Below are 18,396 nucleotides of genomic sequence, written 5' to 3' on the forward strand. Positions count from 1 at the left end.
GGAGGCTGCAGTGAGCCAAGATCATGCTACTGCACTCCAGCCTAGGCAACAGAACCAGACTTTGTGTCAAAAAACAAAACAACACACAAACAAAAACAAAAAACAAACCCAGAACCAACCAAACAAGAAAACCCCATGATATCCTTGGAATTAAGAAAAGAAGAAGAAGCCGGGTGTGGTGGCTCACGCTTGTAATCCCAGCACTTTGGGAGGCCGAAGCTGGTAGATCACCTGAGGTTGGGAGTTTGAGACCAGCCTGACCAACATGCAGAAACCCTGTCTCCACTAAAAATACAAAAAAATTAGCTGGGCGTGGTGGTGCATGCCTGTAATCCCAGCTACTTGGGAGGCTGAGGCAGGAGAATCACTAGAACCCAGGAGGCGGAGGTTGCAGTGAGCCAGGATCGCACCATTGCACTCCAGCCTGGGCAACAAGAGAACAAGAGCGAAACTCCGTCTCAAAAAAACAAGAAGAAAGAAAAGAAGAAGAACAAAAATAGCAGATATATAGGAAAGAACACTTCAATGGGTGAAGTGGTAATGTCTTTCCATAATTCATTAAAAGGAGATCTTCAACATAGAGGAGTAGCTGATGATCTTAAAGCACTCGCTAGTCATGAGATGGTCCTTCTGAATTTAACTGCAGCGTGCAATGAAGATTTTTATTTCTCTATTTTTTTTTTTTTTGAGATAGAGTCTTGCTCTGTCGCCCAGGCTGGAGTGCAGTGGTATGATCTTGGCTCACTGTAACCTCCGCCTCCCAGGTTCAAGTGATTCTTCTGCCTCAGCCTCTCGAGTAGCTGGGACTACAGGCACACGCTACGACGCCTGGCTAATTTTTGTATTTTTACTAGAGATGGAGCTTTGCCATATTGGCCAGGCTGGTCTCAAACTCCTGACCTCATGATCCGCCTGCCTTGGCCTCCCAAAGTGCTGGGATTACAGGTGTGAGCCACCGTACCCAGCCTATTTCTCTTCTTGTAGAAATTTCTGAATCAGAATTAGAACTATATATGCTATCATAATTGTAAAATCCACTTATTGTAAGAATGAAATCACATTTCTACCTATAAGTACTGACTTTTTCTTGGTTGGATAACTGAGAAAACATTTGAACTGCAACTCTTGCTTGTCCAGCTCAGATCTCCTTCGACATGACTGCCAGCATAAGCTATCTACAATGCAAATCTGATTCTGTCACTTCGAGCTTACAAATACTTCATGGCATCCCAGTGCCTAAAGGATAAAGGCTAAGCTCCTTAGGGAGGCACAGAGGACCCTCTGTGACCTGACTTCCAGCTGTTCCTCCTCCTGCTGTTTTTTGCCTTTACCTTATGCACGAGAGCAACACCCAACAGCCACATTTCCTAGAAGGTGTCACTCTCTCTCTAGAAGATATCACTCTTTCTCTCAGGAAAGTGAGAAAGAAAAAAAGCAGTCAGGCCGGGTGTGGTGGCTCCCACCTGTAATACAAGCACTTCGGGAGATGAAGGCGGGCGGATCACCTGAGGTTGGGAGTTCGAGACCAGCCTGACCAACGTGGAGAAACCCCGTTTCTACTAAAAATACAAAATTAGCTGGGTGTGGTGGTGCACACCTGTTATCCCGGCTACTCGGGAGGCTGAGGCAGGAGAGTCACTTGAAACTGGGAGGCGGATGTTGCAGTGAGCTGAGATCGTGCCATTGTACTTCAGCCTGGGCAAAAAGAGCAAAACTCTGTCTCAAAAGAAAAAAAAAAAAAAAGAAAAAAAGCAGTCCTGGGCTGCGGTAAGCTAAACTGTCCTGGTTCTAACATCTAGGCCTGGGGTTGTCCTGTTGAACCGAAACCAGGCCACTCTATGAGCATGCTGGAGCAAGACAAAAATAAGACCACTTTACAGTGAGCTGAGATCACCCCACTGCATGACAGTCCGGGAGACAGAGCGAGACCCTGTCTCTAAAAAGAAGAAGAAAAAGAAAAAAAACCACTCCACAGTCATGTCTGAGCACAGACAAAAACACAAATGCCATAAACTACAAAAAATGCGAAACATCTTCCTCTCCCAGCTAATATGAGTGACTGCTGTGCCCTTACTAATCACAGCTTTACCCCACCTTCTAGATAAAAATTCATCATAGAATTATCAAATCCAGAGCAAAATATTGATTCTTTAAACCCTTCCCAAAGTCACCTACTGCAAGTCTAAACTGCAACAAGTTCCTCTCAACTCTGCACTAAGATGCCCCATGGTTCTTCATGGTGTGCTTTCTTCCTCACTGCAACGAACCAAGAAACCCAACTTGTTCAACTACAAGTGTGTTCCTTTGGCCAAAAGGCACTGACACAAGGAAGCTTTTCCTGTCTGCCCCAGGCTGGCTGAGGACTGCCACCTTCTCTGTTCCAAAGATGTCCTGTACCTTACAGCACTGCATTATGCAGGCTATATTGTATTGAAATTCTGTCCATCCATGTCTGTCTCCCTCTGGAGACCTTGGGCCCCACAGGAACCATGTTTTATTTTTTTCCTCTTATTCATTTTTAAGTCCTCAGCTGACAAAGAACCTAGGTCATAGTAAAGTTTCAAAAAAAAATGTTTAAAGAATGAATGAGTAGATGCTGCACATTTCTTGGGTCCAAGATTTAAAGATGCAGCTTCACGTAACACATCATTTTACAACACTGTCAACTATAACGTCATGTGCTTTAAGAATGCAGTCTGGTTGTACAAGGTGACTCATGCCTGTAATCCCAGCATTTTGGGAGTCTTAGGCAGGAAGACTCCTTAAGCCCAGCAGTTTGAGACCAGCTTGATCATCATAGCGAGACTCCGTCTCTACAAAAAATAATTAGCTAGGCATGGTGGTGTGCACCTGTAGTCCCAGCTACTCGAGAGGCTGAGGTGGGAAGACTGCTTGAACCTGTAGGGTTGAGGCTGCACTGAGCTGTGATGGTGCCACTGTACTCCAGCCTGGGCACTGAGCTAGACTCAAAAAAAAAAAAAAAAAAAAAAAGGAATGCAATCTGGGCTTCTCCTCCTAACTCTCTTGCCTCTGAATATTCCTTTTTCCGAAGTGTGTCGAGAAACAACCTAAGTTTGGAGAGATTAAGACACATATCGATGTAGAGAAAGCTTTTTTTTTTTTTTTTTTTTTTTTTTAAGACAGGGTCTTGCTCTGTTGCCCAAGCTGGAGTGCAGTGGCACAAACACAGCTTACTATACCGTTGACTTCCCAGGCTCACTCAATCCTCCTGCTGCAGCCAGCCGAGTAGCTGGGACTACAAGTGCATAACCTCATGCTTGGCTAATTTTTAAATTTTTTGTAGAGATGAGGTCTCGTCATGTTGCCCAGGCTGGTCTCAATTCCTGGGCCCAAGCAATCCTTCCATCTTGGCCTCCCTAAGTGTTGGGATTACAGATGCGAGCCACCACCCCTGGCCAAGGGAAAGCTTTTTAAAAAATTTAAACAAACTCAAAAGTTTTATCAGTTCTGGAAGATCATGATAAAAATGAAATATTGGAGAAAGCAAGCTGTTACCCATCAATGTTGAGAAAATGACAAAACATATCAAGTTTTACATGGCAACATCTGTTTATAATGTGTTAAATTTTTTTTACCTGTTCCTTAAGGGGAAAAAAGTGGGTAACTCAATTAACATCAGGTAGGACTCTAAACTTTCAAAGTAACTTAACTTATTTATTTGAGACATGGTCTTGCTCTGTTGCCCAGGTTGGAGTGCAATGGCTGATCATAGTTCACTGCAACCTTGACCTGCTGGACTTAAGCAGTCCCCTTGCCTCAGCCTCCTGAGGAGCTGGAACTGCACTTGTGTGCCACCATACCCAGCTAAAACTTTCTTTTTTACTTGTATTAATTTTTTTTTTTTTTTTTTTTGCTGGGAAGACTCAGACCCAAGTAACCTTGGATATGAGCTCTCCACCTGGTTAAAACTTTATTACAGTGCTGATTTCTTCTGTTTCTAAGTTTTTGCCAATCTTTGGCAAAGATCAAGACAGGTCATAATTCTTAAAGTTCAGCTGCTTGTAGAGACATTTATAGCAAAATAAAAAACTTAAAAAGAAATGTTAAAGAGTACATTTTTCCTTCTTTTTAGAGATGGGGTCTCGCTATGTTGTCCAGGCTGGTCTTGAACTCCAGGGCTCAAGAAAACTGCCTGCCTTAGCCTCCCAAAGTGCTGGGATTACAGGCGTAAATCACCATGCCCAGCCAAGACTAAGTTTTTAATTTTACTGCCTGGTTATATTGTATATAAATATTTAAAATATCAATCTTGGGCTAGGCACAGTGGTTCATGCCTGTAATCCCAGCACTTTGGGAGGCCAAGGTGGGAGGATCGCTTGAGGCCAGGAGTTCGAGACCAGCCTGGCCAATAAGGTGAAATCCCGTCTCTACTAAAAATACAAAAAATTAGCTGGGAGTGGTGGCATGCACCTGTAATCCCAGCAACTCAGGAGGCTGAGGCAGGAGAATTGCTTGAACCAGGGAGATAGAGGTTGCAGTGAGCTGAGATTGTGCCACTACACTCCAGCCTGGGTGAGAGAGCGAAACTCCGTCTAAAAAAAAAAATAAATAAAATAAAATAAAATATCAATCATGACAATTTAATAGGAAAAGTCTTAAATATTTTATGTTCTTAAACTAATAAAGTGACTTTGAAGCCAACAAGAATGCTGAAAACAAACTGTGTATATTTTAATCTTTCCTAATGTTTTTATGTTCTTCTTTTATTCTACTCAAAAGGCAAACATTTTGTTTCCATGGTTTGAGAATTTAGTATATTGAATTATTATAGATTTTTATTTGTGATTTGCCTTTGTGCTCGATTAAGTGATTGAAATCTGGTTTTAATAAGATATAAACTTTTTTCTAAAGACCTACTCTAGAAGAGCAAACAGATGTATATCATATTATAATATTATATCATAATAAATGTGCTGTTCTCTTTCTTTAATGACACTCATTTAAAATATAGATACAGGTCCAATATCCCTTGTCTGAAATGCTTGGAACCAGAAGTGTTTTGGATTCTGGATTTTAGAATATTTGTATCACGTACCTTCCCAATTAAGCATCCTAAATCTTGTTTTTCTTTTCGAGATGGAGTCTTGCTCTGTCACCCAGGCTGGAGTGCAGTGGCACGATCTCAGCTCACTGCAACCTCTGCCTCCTGGGTTCAAGGAATTCTCCTGTCTCAGCCTCCCGAGTAGCTGGGACTACAGGTGTGTGCCACCATGCCCAGCTAATTTTTGTATTTTTAGCAGAGATGGGGTTTTGTCATGTTGGCCGGGCTGATCTCGAACTCCTGACCTCAGGCGATCCGCCTGCCTCAGCCTCCCAAAGTGCTGGGATTACAGGAGTGAGCCATCAGGCTGGCCAAGCATCCTAAATCTTAAAATCCAAAAATCTGAACTCTGAAATGCTCCAATGAGCATTTCCTTTGAGCATCATGTGGGTTCTCAAAAACTTTTGGATTTCAGAGTATTTTGGATTTAGAATTTTCAGATTTGGGATGTACAACTGTATAAACACACTAGTTGGTTTTCTAACAACTAATGGTCAGAATGAGAATCCTTTCATGAATAACACATTTTATTTTCTACTAATCAAGTGGAAAAAACAAACTTAAGACTCATTTGATAATCACTACACTAAAAGGTTTTAAAATGACTTAAAAATATTTTTTATAGTTTATAAAACTATACTTTCTATAAAAAATGAAAGAACTGAAATTCTTCAGACAATACTTTGTTCATATTTATGTATTTAAAATTTTTTTTTAAATATTTTAAATGTTTTGTAGAGAAAGGGTCTCACTATGTTGACTAGGCTAGTCTCCTGACCTCAAATGATCCTCCCACCTAGACCTCCCCAAAGGACTGGGATTACAAGTGTGAGCCACTGCACCCAGCCAGACAATACTTTGGATGTTCATTTCATTTGCCTATTCTACTTTGTCTAGAGCATGCACAATAGGAATATATATTTTTAAAAACTGATATCTTAATTCTGAAGAAAAAAAGTTTCTGACATTATTTTTAAAATGTGTCAAAGTCCATACCTGATTTCTTAATGATGAAAGAATGTATTCCTTTTCATAATGGGAAATTCTCTTGTGTTTTTGTGGTGTGTCACTAACTAACCAGATCCACAAAAGAAACCAAAATATTCCAATAGTACCTTAAAATAGAAAAATAATAGTTAGATAAAATTAGAATGTACCAAATAACAAACAAAACAAAACAAAAACACAAAATTAGAAAGCACCAACAACAATTTTTACATGTCTTGAAAAAATTATGTAACTATAAATTCAATGTAAAACTGACTTCAGTTTGGATTCAATTTCAAGTTTCTCTCAATTCTTTAATGGGATAATTGCTATAACTGTATTATTGCTTATACATTTTGAAGAAAACAACTTTTTTTTTTTTTTTTGAGATAGAGTCTTGCTCTGTCTCACAGGCTGGAGTGCAGTGACGTGATCTCGGCTCACTGCAACCTCCGCCTGCTGGGTTCAAGCAACTCTACTGTCTCAGCCTCCTGAGTAGCTGGGACTACAGGCACGTGCCACCACGCCTGGCTAATTTTTGTATTTTGAGTAGAGATGGGGTTCCACCATGTTGGCCAGGCTGGTCTTGAACTCCTGACCTCGTGATCCACCCGCCTCGGCCTCCCAAAGTGCTGGGATTACAGGTGTGAGCCACTGCACCCAGCCAGAAGAAAACAACTTTTAACCACATGACTTTGCCTATCAGGGTCTACCAGACAAATCTTTTTGAAGATACATTTCCACAATCTACATATTTCCAAAGGTGTCTGTTTTTGTTAGTTGAGTTTTAAATTTTGATTGCAGATATATTTCTTGCATGACATGTCTATGTGAAAATCTAATTTATTAAAAATGTGTATCATGCTGCCAAGGAAATTGAGCAATAAAATGCCTTGGGACTAAGTAAAAAGAAAAAAAAAAAAAAAACATTAAAACTACCAAGTGAGAACATCCTACTTTGCTTGAGAAGAAATTCAAAATACCTAAGATAGTGATTTTTTGATAGCAAATGTACTATTTAAGTACAGGATCAACAGTCATTTCTACTGAGAAATATTCCAAAACTAACATCAGCTCGTAACTCAAATAGGTCAAGTAAATCATACCAACTTGAAAAACAGGTTATCAGGAAGTGTTTCAGAACTGTGGTTCAGTGATTTGGAAGATATATTTTTAAAACATTATTAGGCTACTATTATTACATTTTGAATTTGTTACATTATAATTTAGTTAAAATTTTAAACTTACCAAAAAAGTAGAAGACATAAGTCCAATTCATATAGTAGCAAATTATTCCAGAAAGAGGAAGAGAAATTACTGTCCCAAGCTGTGCTCCTAGAACAACACATAAGACTATTTTATAAACTTTGGAGAGAGAAACAAGGATAGGACAGACAAGTCTACTGCTTACAGAGGATGGGTAACAGGCTGGGCACAGTGGCTCATTCCTGTAATCCCTGCACTTTGGGAGGCTGATGTGGGTGGATCACCTGAGCCTAGGAGTTTGAGACCAGCCTGGGCAATATGGCAAACTCCTATCTGTACTAAAAATACAAAAATTATCTGGGTATGGTGGTGATGCACGCCTGTAGTACCAGCTACTTAGCTACTTGGGAGGTTGAGGTGGGACGATCGCTTCAGCTGTTGAGGCTGCAGTGAGGGGCGATTGTGCCACTGCCTTCCAGCCTGGAGTGAGACCCTGGCTCAAAAAAAAAAAAAAGGCTAAAATGTGGTCCCATAGAAACAAGATTAGAAAAAAGATATAGAGGTAGTATAACAGGACAAGCAAAGGAATGGAAGTAGTAAAGCAGAGAGTAGGCTTGGGAACTTCATTTGGGTAAAGGAAAGGAAAAGCAGATAAAGCTGGAAAAATAGGTTGGACAGTTGAACAGTTACTGAGTACCTACTCCATGCTAGGCACTATCTGCCAGAGATATAAGGCTAGCTGCAACAAAGTAGTGAAGACTGTAAAGAATCTTGCCCCTAGTTCAAGGAGTTTGGGATTTATTCAATAGGTAAAAGGGAACCTTAGATAGTACCTGTTCTTGAACCTATCATCAGATTTCTCATGTCAATCTCAACATAGCTGCAAGAATAATCTTCTTAAAATGTAATTGAATCATGCCTCTTAAAAAACAATCTACATTTTTTCCTGTAGCCTGTAAGACCTGATATAACCCGGCTCTTATCTCTTTCTCTAACCTCATCTTATGCCATCATCCTCCTTACTCACTGAGTTCTAGCCATCCAAGGTAGTTTTCCACTTCTTTTAACCCTTATGTTATTTCTTGCCTGAGTGCCCTCGTACATGCTGTTCTGATTGGCTGAAATGCTCTTCTCCCTGCATGAATGGTTTGTTCTTATCCTTCAGATTTTAGCTTAAAAGTACCACAGAGAGGCCTTTTCTCAACTACTGTATTTAAAAAGCAGTCCGGTGGAAAAATTTTAATTTAGTCAATGAAAGAAAGGCTAGAATTTCTTATGCAATCTGATAAAATTATAATTCACATATATAAAACTCATGTTATCTCACCTGTAGATCAAAATGATGGCAAATAAAGATGCAATAGAAAAAAGATGCATGAAGAGAGGGGTTGAGAATCATGATACATTCATTAGTTAATCAAAACAGAAATCACAATTTAAGGACAAAAACACTCAATTTTCTAGCTACTGGCCTTTTTTTTTCTTTTTTTTAAATAGCATCTCTAAACAAACAAAAATAAAATTTAAAACCCCCAAAAAAGTAAACAGAAAAAGAAAAAAAATAGCATCTCTATACCAATATCTGAAAACACAACATACTTTGAAATAGATGATGGCAGATGGGGAAAATGACATTAGTCAATTAAGCTGCATTACTATAAGTTGTTGAGCCAAAGAGAAAAATTGGTAATAAAGTTATACTACCGAAACTTAATGTTCTCCCCAAAGGGGCATCCAATCCAACATTGCATCGTTCTGGTATGCAGGCCCTTTTTCCCAAAGGTTGATATATACATAACATATTACAGCAAAATTTGGTAATTGTTATCTCACCTGCATATGAAATGCTAAGAAGTTTGCTTCTTTCAAGAGGGGGAGCCCAAGAAGACCACATGGCATGCATGGCTGGAAATGTAACACCCTGAGAGAAGGGAACATGATATTTCTGATGAAATGTAAGGTAGTTTTGTTAATGCTTTAAAGTAAGTTAAGTATTTTGCTACAAAAGCATTTTCTGGATAAGAATCAAACGAATCAGGTTCCATGAAATGAGAAATTTTTACAGTGTTAAGTGAAAATATCTTATAATGAAGTACTTTCAGAATTTGAGGCTGGGTGTGGTGGCTCATGCCTGTAATCCCAGCACTTTGGGAGGCCAAGGCAGGAGGATTGCTTGAGCCCAGGAGTTCGAGATCAGCCTGGGTAACGTAGTGAGACACCATCTCTTAAAAAAAAAAAGTAAAACTCCCCAAAGATTCATGGATTTTGGAACTGGTTTTAAGACAACAAGATAAGGGTTACAATAAATCTAAAATAATTGTACTGAGTGAGGACATAAAGGGATCTTGCTCAAGGTTAATTTTACTCATTCACTTTATTAATCACCTGAATGAAAGGGAATATTACTAACTTATAACTTTAAAAAATACTGAGCTAATATTTTGGGATACTGAAAAAAAATTCAAGCTGACAATCAACCAGAAAAACAGTCCTATTAAAAAAAGGATGAATTCAATTAGCATGTTTACAGCCTTTCTTCTTTTTTTTCCTGTGATAACAAGCCTAGTAGATGCCAATTACTGACACGGAGAGCTAACAGGATGTGGAAACAGGGAGTTTCATAGAGACTGGGTAAATGAGGAGATACCACAGGACAGTGAGAGAGAACGGCTCTCCTTGGACACTCTCTGTGTCACTTCAGAAAGATTAGTTAACCTCCCTGAACTTCAAGGCGGTTGCATAATTGTTGTAAAGATAAATGGTAACTAGTGCTATTATTAGTGGAGAGAAGAATAAATGTTTTAATACTTTGTACTTTCCGCTGACTCTTTCAAAAACAAAAACAAAAGGAATTAAAAAAAAGTAATACCAATGGAAGGCAAAGATGATTTAGGTACATTGCAAATCAATAAGAATCTATATGATGGAGCATCCACAGGATGAGTCATTATAGAAGAAAACTTGAGATGTTTGGAAATGCCCACAGAGATTATGTTGTAGAAAACTTTATTATAAAACCTAGGGACAATGTAGGTATATTTATGGTGAATCAGATGGTAGGAATGCAAGATAGTAATCTAAGTGTCCTTTATGAATGAGGAAATGCACCTGTGATACATATTGAAGGGATGAAGAAGGACGAGAGAACCTGAGTATAAATACAACTTAAATTCTATTTAGTTGTTGGCTGGACACGGTGGCTCATGCCTGTAATCCCAGCACTTTGGGAGGCGGAGGCAGGTGGATCACTTGATGCCAGAAGTTCGAGACCAGCCTGGCCAACATGGTGAAACCCCGCCTCTACTAAATATACAAAAATTAGCCAGGCATGGTGGCGCATGCCTGTAATCCCACCTACTTGGGAGGCTGAGGAAGGAGAATTGCTTGAACTCAGGAAGCGGAGGTTGCAGTGAGCCGAGATCATGCCACTGCACTCCAGCCTGGGCAACAGAGTGAGACTCCGTCTCAAAGACTAGAAAAAAATAAATAAATGAATAAATAAAATGTCACCTGAGATAACAGTGGTAATATGATCAATATGCCGTAATGTTAAATTAGTGGCATAAACTGGAAGTAAAATATGGGAATACATTCAGCAAGGAGATTGAATACTAGGATCAGAGAAAATATGCTAGATTTAAGTATATTTTACTTTGTCAAGAAGAACAGGAACCTGGTAATAGAGGAGTAATTTTAATTTTGTGATCAGGAAGGGTTTACTTAATGGACCTCTACTGATAAGAACAAAATAAAAACATTCAGATGAATGAAAAATCTTTTAATAGTACCTGGCAATTTCCAAAGTATTCTAGCAATCCTTATCACATATGAATTTTATATCTAATCTGTGACTGAAAACAGGGAAGGTATTTTAGTCCCAGTTTAAAAAATGATGGGACTGAGATCTAGAGATTAGAGCTTACCTAAGGTTTCACTGTTAGATACAATAGAGCTATTATTCAAACTCTGGTCCAGTGTTCATTCCAACAGCATGATACACTGCTACTTAAAATAATCTTCATCCTCTACACCAAGCCCAGTGGCCATTATCTTGCTTGAATTAAAGAAATGCAAGAGAGCAAAATACACCATTCCCTGGATTTCAGAGGTAGAAGTTCGAAGTTATAAAGGAAAAGTGAAAATTATTAAGTATGGGGGTACACATGATGAAATACAAAAGAAAAGTGGGAAGGAAAAGAAAGACAAGAATCAAAATTTTAAAAAATGATAAAACTATTAAGAGGAGGGAAATAAAAGAGGCAAAAATCAATAATACTTCTAAAAAGAGCAGAATCATAGAACTAAATTGAGATAGTTATATAAAATCATAAAATATTTGTCTCTAAGTTACAAGACCAGAAAAAATAAAAGAATAAGCGATAAAAAAGAAATTAAATGCAACTCAACAGTCTATTGTGTAAAATGTGCTTCAGACTTGGGCATCAATGATAGAGCAGAGTTTAACGGTGGCAAGAGCACAAGAGGTAAGGATGGTCAATCTTAACCATTTTTTTTTCTTTTGAGATGGAGACTTGCTGTCGTCCAGGCTGGAGTGCAGTGGCGCGATCTTGGCTCACTGCAACCTCTGCCTCCCGGGTTCAAGCAGTTCTCCCACTTCATCCTCCCGAGTAGCTGCAATTACAGGTGTGCACCACCATGCCCGGCTAATTTTTGTATTTTTAGTAGAGATGGGGTTTCACCTGTTGGCCAGGCTGGTCTCAAACTCCTAACCTCAAGTGATCCACCTACCTTGGCCTCCCAAAATGCTGGGATTACAGGCATGAGCCACCACGCCCGGACTATCTTAACCATTTATTAATGGTTTATTTTCTTCTCTCCTAAAGTATGAGCTATGAAGTCTCTTTTGGAAAAAAGTTTTCTCTGGTTTTTGAGTAAAGGTTCCAATTTCGGGGTGCTCCTACTAGAGACCTCATTTACCACAAACAAAATCTATTCAGGTAATTTTCTAGTTAGTCCTTTCTCTAAAAAATAAACCCCTGTTATCATCCAACGTTATTTTTTGGTTCATATTCATACCAAAGAATGACATCTTTAAGAAGAAGAGAAGGAGACACACGGTAAGAAGTAAAACAAGAGAGAAAAGAAAATTACCTCTCCTAGTCCTTCTAGTGCTCTGAGTACAATGAGTGGTCCAACTCCTAAATCTGCAGCAATGGGAGTGAACAGGGTGAGGACAGCAGTGCCAAGGATCCCAAATCCTAGCAGCATTTTCCCCCCTATTTTGCTGGCAACATATCCTCCAGGAATCTGTGTGATGATGTAGCCATAAAAAAAGGAACCGAGAATCCATCCTTGAGTTTCTGCATCCCATTGGTACTTCTTACCCTACAAAAATCAGAAAAGAATAAAACAATCCTTTAAGACCTTCACAGAGCAGCTCTTTTCTCTTACTGGCATGTAAGTACATATAAATGAGATTTTGAACCACTATTTTGGACTGAAGAACATGCAAACTTTCTAGTAGGTGGGTGAGTCATAACAATATAGATATACAGTATTTAGAAGTGAATGAAAAAGAACTGACAGTCGTAAACTTCAAGAAGGCTTGCAATTTTATAAAACTAGACTGCAGGATGAGCTGCCAGAAGCTTTATAATAACTATGACCAAGAAGGCTCACAAAAGAATCACAAAAAAGGCTTGGGTATCTCTGAGCCTACTATGGCTCGGGAGGCTGCCGCCCCCCCGGCCCTGCCTCCCCCTCCCAAAAAAAGAGTCACAGGCTTAATCCAGAAAGCTATTAAGCAGAAAACTGTAGTGGCTGAGCTAGGCTTTGGGAACCAGGCTTGGTTTTAATCCTAGCTCTATTACTTACCGAATGTGTGATCTGGGAAGAGGAAATGAAATAGGCACATAAAATAAGGCTTGATGTACAGTTAGTGTTCACTTAGTGCTGGCTATTAACATGCATAAATGTAGATATTAATAATATCTCCCCATTTCAGACGAAGCACTTAAACAAGCACATGGAACAATTCCAAAGAGCAAGAATTTAAATCAAGCCACAAACTTCATGTGAATAGAACCTGTGTTTTCATTAGTAACAGCACACAGCAAGGTACTAATGAAGATTTAGTGACTGATCTGAGTATCTGACATTTTTAATGCAGTGTAGCTGTATAACAAAGCCAACATGTCAAGAACCATTCCGGGATTTCTTTCTACTGCTGATATAAGGCAGATGAAGATAAGTAGCAGGGTCAACAAAAGCACTTTGCAAAGAAAAAGACACAAAGCAAACTCTTACTTTTCCTTATTTAGGGTACCAATTTGCAGTTTATCTGTGGAATTCTAGGATTTCATGTACATTCCAGCAGTATTGTCCCTGAAGGTCACAGGTTGGAGTGGAGAAAGTGAGTGATGTGTACCCAAATGTTACTCAGCAACATTATTAAAGTCAAATATAAAGATTTTCGGAGAGATTTATTTTGTTTAGAGAGAAACCCTCTTTCCTGCTTGAATGCTCTGCTTGTGAATGATAGAGGAGATTCATCTAAGTATGAACTAGTATCTTCGTGAGCACTGAAAATGGGTGAAAATTTATTTATTTATTTATTTATTTATTTTTAAATTTTTTTTTTGAGACGGAATCTCGCTGTGGCCCAGGCTGGAGTGCAGTGGCGCGATCTCGGCTCACTGCAGGCTCCACCCCTTGGGGTTCACACCATTCCCCCGCTTCAGCCTCCCGAGTAGCTGGGACCACAGGCGCCCACCACCTCGCCCGTCTAATTTTTTGTATTTTCAGTAGAGATGGGGTTTCACCATGTTAGCCAGGATGGTCTTGATCTCCTGACCTCGTGATCCATGTGCCTCGGCCTCCCAAAGTGCTGGGATTACAGGTGTGAGCCACCGCGCCCGGCCAAAAATTTATTATTTTTTATTTATTTATTTTTTTGAGACGAAGTCTTGCTCTTGTTGCCCAGGCTGGAGTGGAATGGCGTGATCTCGGCTCACTGCAAACTCCACCTCCCAGGTTCAAGCAATTCTCCTGCCTCAGCCTCCTGAGTAGCTGGGATTATAGGTGTGTGCTACCACGCCCAGCTAATTTTTGTATTTTTAGTAAAGACAGGGTTTCACCGTGTTGGCCAGGCTGGTCTCGAACTACTCACCTCAGGTGATCCACCTGCCTCAGCCTCCTAAAGTGCTGGGATTACAGGCATGAGTCACTGCACCCAGCCTGCAAATGTACTTCTAAAAAGAATACTAGCTTTTCTTTCTGTACTATCTCCTCGTGTGATAAGCAACATAAAATGAAGTATATATAACTTAATTATAAACAAATGATGAATACACATTTATTAATACCACTATAACATAAGGCAGGCAAAATGACTTATGTGGCTTAGGTTGGGCATGTGTACATTCAGAAAAGAATGTCCTAAGAAACTGGCCAGTTCTTGTTTTTCATCTTGCAACTGAGATTACCTAAACTCTCTTGCAGCTGTAACTCTATAAGTGATATAGGGTTATAAATAATACTCCTATAAAAGCTATTTAGAAAATTTAAAACAGTTTAATTTTCTGTTATATAAAACAGGTTTTTCCAAATTTTCTTTAAGCATGGTATGTTTATAGAGGGAATGGAAGAACTACTTTTCAAACAGATGAAGGTGTATTACGGCATAGCAGTAGTAGCTATAGTTACAAGTTATTGCCCAATCAGTTCCTGGGAAAACACAAAAAGAAAGTGATTCAGAGTATACACAAACAAAGTATAGTTTCTGTAGGATGAAAAAAGACCTTTTAATATTTTTACTTGCAAGTATTTTAGGATAATTAAAATTGTTTCCTTAAAAAATAGCACCTACCGTTTGATTATGATGAACTTTTATGGGAGCAGAATGCTCTGGACACGCCTTGGAAGTTCTATTATCTTCTAAAGTTGTATTTGAATCTACCATATCCACTAACGCAACACTCAGATTCACACGTAATGCATACACAATGAAGAAACCAAAAAAGGCCAAAATTGCTAAGTTGTAACGAGCAGAGCAGCACACTGGAGCTGAAATAAAGATTGGGGAAAATTTTTATTTATTTTTAAATTTTTATTTTTAGAGACAGGGTTTTGCCATGTTGCTTAGGCTGGTCTTGAACTCCTGGGCTCAAGCCATCCACCCACCTCAGCCTCCCAAAGTGCTGTGATTATAGGCATTGGCCACCATACCCGGCTGCTTTAATTAAAAAAGTTAATTACATGATATTGTCTAAATAATGAAAAAGGTTGCTTTTTAAAAGTACAAAAATAATTATGAAAAAATGTTAAAGAATATTCTTAGATTAAGCAAATCTAAGAAACATTTGTCAAAGATTAGCTGTTTCTCATATCTGTAGTTTTGGTAAAAATTTCACACATGAGAGCCTGAACTATAAAAAAGTTCATTAAAACATGGAGGTAGTAGTTTTATCACCTTTGCTGAGAAAAAGATCTATTCCAGATTCAAACTGAACCCCTACTCCTTGTCAGCTGGCAAAGATATACGGCATGAGAAAAGCAGGTAAGGAGGTTTAATGGCATTACTATTTCTGAAAAACTATCTGAAACATGGTCAATAAGTACTTGAGTACTTACAATGACATGATATATTACTGATTATGAGTTAGTAGCCATCTCATTGTTAAATGTAGCATAGCAAAAAAAATTTACTGCCAAGGGTAGGGCATGAAATTTCTCTTGATAAATTTCTTACCTCGAAGAGTATCCTCAAAGGCTGGGTTTGAATCAGAAGCCATGATTAATACTTAAAGCCATCGTAAACTAAATGCATTTAAGAATCTAGAAGCAAACTTGCAGAACCTATGACAGTTGCAGCATCTGTGACAGTTGCTCAGTAGTTATCAAGCGTAAAGGGCTCACAGTAAAAAGGGAAATCAGTGAATGTACCACCATGATTAAAAAAAAAGGATGCCGGGCACAGTGGCTCACGCCTGTAATCCCAGCACTTTGGGAAGCCGAGGCGGGCGGATCACCTGAGGTCAGGAGATCGAGACCATCCTGGCTAACTCGGTGAAACCCCGTCTCTACTAAAAATACAAAAAATTAGCCGGGCGTGGTCGCGGGCGCCTGTAGTCCCAGCTACTCGGGAGGCTGAGGCAGGAGAATGGCGTGAACCCGGGAGGCGGAGCTTGCAGCGAGAGGAGATCGCGCCACTGCACTCCAGCCTGGGCGACAGAGACAGAGACTCCGTCTCAAAAAAAAAAAAAAAAAAAAAAAGAATGCAGAGTAGGTTGGAGGAACCAATAAAAGGATCATGTGAGAGGAGGAGTTTGACCTATTTATTACTCTAACTGTGGGCTTATGCATAGTTTCTCTTTTTTCTTCTTTTATTGAGTTGCAGAATTGGAGAGGGATAGGATTCAGGATGCTGACTAAGGATAATCAACCTCTTAGTAACAAAGAGAAATTAGCTAATCCAGAGTCTGAACATCTTTAAGTTTAGTAAACTCTGAGTGGCTGATAAATACCTCTTTAAAGATATAAACATGTATTTCATTAAGCAATGACATATTAAAATTAAATGAAAATATGTGTGCTTTTATTTGGTAATGACACATCAACATCATATAAATGTGTGTATGTTTTTCCCCTACTTAAGAATCCTGGTGTTTTCATTAACCTAGCATCAAAGGAGAGAATATATTTTACAGAATACAAAAGTCTTGATACTGGCTCAGATGAACTGATTTAGACTGAAACATTAATGAATATGCACAACTATACTTAGGTTTATATTAATATATTATGATCCAACTCACTTTTCTGTATGCCCTCCTATGTTTAACAACTGCTATTATTTTTTTTTCCCTGTGTAAGATTAACTTCTTTTAACAGGAAACTTTTCATTTGGCATTCTTAAATCCTTTCTTCAGGGGTACAGCTATGAAATTTATGGTACCACTACCATAGTTAGATCCAGATCTGTAAGAACTGAATTTCTAAAGTTCTATTCACATTGTCTCTATTACTAGAATCTAGGCGAATTTGCTTTCTGCTGCAACCAAATGGGCAGTTGTCCAGTTAATGACGGTTTGGATATTGTGAGGCATGTTTTGTAAAAAAACACATTTTCTTTTTTCTTTCTTTTTTTTTTTAGAGACAGGGTCTTGCTCTGTTGCCCAAGCTGGAGTACAGTGGGTGATCATAACTTTCTGTAACCTCGAACCCCTGGACTCAAGTGATCCTCTCACCTCAGCCTCTTGAGTAGCTGGGACTAAAGGCATATGGCAGCATATCTGACTAATTTTTAAATTTTTACTTGTAGAGTCGGGGTCTCACTATTTTGCCCAGGCTGGTCTTGAACTTTTGGCCTCAAGCAATCCTCCCATCTCAGCCTCCCAAAGCACTGGAATTATAGACGTGAGCCACTGTGCCCAGCAGAACATGTTTTCTTTATCATTGCTCTGTGTCAGGTGATATTACCTAGAAGTCTGGATGGGGGACTCAAAAATCTAGCTAAATGTGTGCATTAAAATGTGTTACTTTGAGCAATTTGGAGCAAGAAAAACCCAGATTTATGTACTATGTCTGTTTTGTCAATGCAGCATTTAAAAAGATCATTACCTATTTCAGCAAAGGAGTGATGAGATGTGATTTATGGTTTAAAAAGCTTATCTGGTTGATGGTTTAAAGAGCTCATCTGGACCCTGCATGGAGACTATAGAAAGGAGAAGTGTGAAGGGTGTAAGGAATGTACAGTCAGGGAGATCACTTAAAGGACTACTGTAGCTTTCCAGCTAAGAGATGAAGGTGGCTTAAACTACAGTGAAAGCAGCAGTGAAGAAAAATGGGCAGATCTGAGATGTTTAAAGGCAGAATTAACAGGCCTTGCCCAAATGTTAGATGTGGGAGTAAGTGAAGGGGAGGGATGAAGTTATTAGTAATTCTCTTACTCTAAAAAACTCTATTTTATGCTACTGTAATTTGTAATGTTATTACTTCATTCTATCCTTATTTGCAGTTATCTTATTTTACTGTACATTATTAGTTTTCCCTAAGTGATGCTTTATTGGGACTATGATATACCTTATCATGTGAATTACAAGGGGCTAGAATGTTGAGAAATGAAAGAAAGGTAAGTAAAATGATTTCAAATTACTCGTGGTATTACTTGGAAATCTGAC

The 18,396-nt window shown here is 38.9% G+C and overlaps 1 protein-coding gene across 11 annotated transcripts in view, besides 7 other annotated features; it reads right to left on the reverse strand.

Moving 5' to 3' along the window:
- SLC17A5 (solute carrier family 17 member 5) overlaps window positions 1–18,396 on the reverse strand; it is a 60,614-nt gene that overhangs the window by 35,945 nt on the left and 6,273 nt on the right. For 5 of the 11 annotated variants that reach the window (NM_001382634.1, NM_001382630.1, NM_012434.5 and 2 more), the window contains exons 2-6: window positions 15,084–15,280; window positions 12,368–12,601; window positions 9,089–9,176; window positions 7,298–7,384; window positions 6,059–6,177 (exon numbers count right to left, since the gene is read on the reverse strand). In NM_001382634.1, coding sequence (NP_001369563.1) covers window positions 6,059–6,177; window positions 7,298–7,384; window positions 9,089–9,176; window positions 12,368–12,601; window positions 15,084–15,280 — 725 coding nt within the window. Of the gene's footprint in view, window positions 1–6,058; window positions 6,178–7,297; window positions 7,385–9,088; window positions 9,177–12,367; window positions 12,602–15,083; window positions 15,281–15,965; window positions 15,987–18,396 lie in introns of those variants that run through there. The other 6 variants (NM_001382631.1, NM_001382635.1, NM_001382629.1 and 3 more) reach the window with 6 other exon arrangements.
- Window positions 7,598–7,767: an enhancer, noted in NCBI's record as "experimental_94408 CRE fragment used in MPRA reporter constructs". NCBI's record gives its function as "activates a minimal promoter by MPRAs in K562 erythroleukemia cells, with activity observed for the introgressed 6:74346729 variant allele {active_cell/tissue: K562}" and the evidence as "EXISTENCE:reporter gene assay evidence [ECO:0000049][PMID:34662402]".
- Window positions 10,974–11,143: an enhancer, noted in NCBI's record as "experimental_94411 CRE fragment used in MPRA reporter constructs". NCBI's record gives its function as "activates a minimal promoter by MPRAs in K562 erythroleukemia cells, with activity observed for both the introgressed and non-introgressed 6:74350105 variant alleles {active_cell/tissue: K562}" and the evidence as "EXISTENCE:reporter gene assay evidence [ECO:0000049][PMID:34662402]".
- Window positions 12,538–12,707: an enhancer, noted in NCBI's record as "experimental_94412 CRE fragment used in MPRA reporter constructs". NCBI's record gives its function as "activates a minimal promoter by MPRAs in K562 erythroleukemia cells, with activity observed for both the introgressed and non-introgressed 6:74351669 variant alleles {active_cell/tissue: K562}" and the evidence as "EXISTENCE:reporter gene assay evidence [ECO:0000049][PMID:34662402]".
- Window positions 12,946–13,115: an enhancer, noted in NCBI's record as "experimental_94413 CRE fragment used in MPRA reporter constructs". NCBI's record gives its function as "activates a minimal promoter by MPRAs in K562 erythroleukemia cells, with activity observed for both the introgressed and non-introgressed 6:74352077 variant alleles {active_cell/tissue: K562}" and the evidence as "EXISTENCE:reporter gene assay evidence [ECO:0000049][PMID:34662402]".
- Window positions 13,445–13,614: an enhancer, noted in NCBI's record as "experimental_94414 CRE fragment used in MPRA reporter constructs". NCBI's record gives its function as "activates a minimal promoter by MPRAs in K562 erythroleukemia cells, with activity observed for both the introgressed and non-introgressed 6:74352576 variant alleles {active_cell/tissue: K562}" and the evidence as "EXISTENCE:reporter gene assay evidence [ECO:0000049][PMID:34662402]".
- Window positions 14,224–14,393: an enhancer, noted in NCBI's record as "experimental_94416 CRE fragment used in MPRA reporter constructs". NCBI's record gives its function as "activates a minimal promoter by MPRAs in K562 erythroleukemia cells, with activity observed for both the introgressed and non-introgressed 6:74353355 variant alleles {active_cell/tissue: K562}" and the evidence as "EXISTENCE:reporter gene assay evidence [ECO:0000049][PMID:34662402]".
- Window positions 15,357–15,526: an enhancer, noted in NCBI's record as "experimental_94418 CRE fragment used in MPRA reporter constructs". NCBI's record gives its function as "activates a minimal promoter by MPRAs in K562 erythroleukemia cells, with activity observed for both the introgressed and non-introgressed 6:74354488 variant alleles {active_cell/tissue: K562}" and the evidence as "EXISTENCE:reporter gene assay evidence [ECO:0000049][PMID:34662402]".

This window comes from Homo sapiens, chromosome 6 (genome assembly GCF_000001405.40).
Source record: "Homo sapiens chromosome 6, GRCh38.p14 Primary Assembly".
In the NCBI taxonomy this organism is placed as follows: Eukaryota; Metazoa; Chordata; class Mammalia; order Primates; family Hominidae; genus Homo; species Homo sapiens.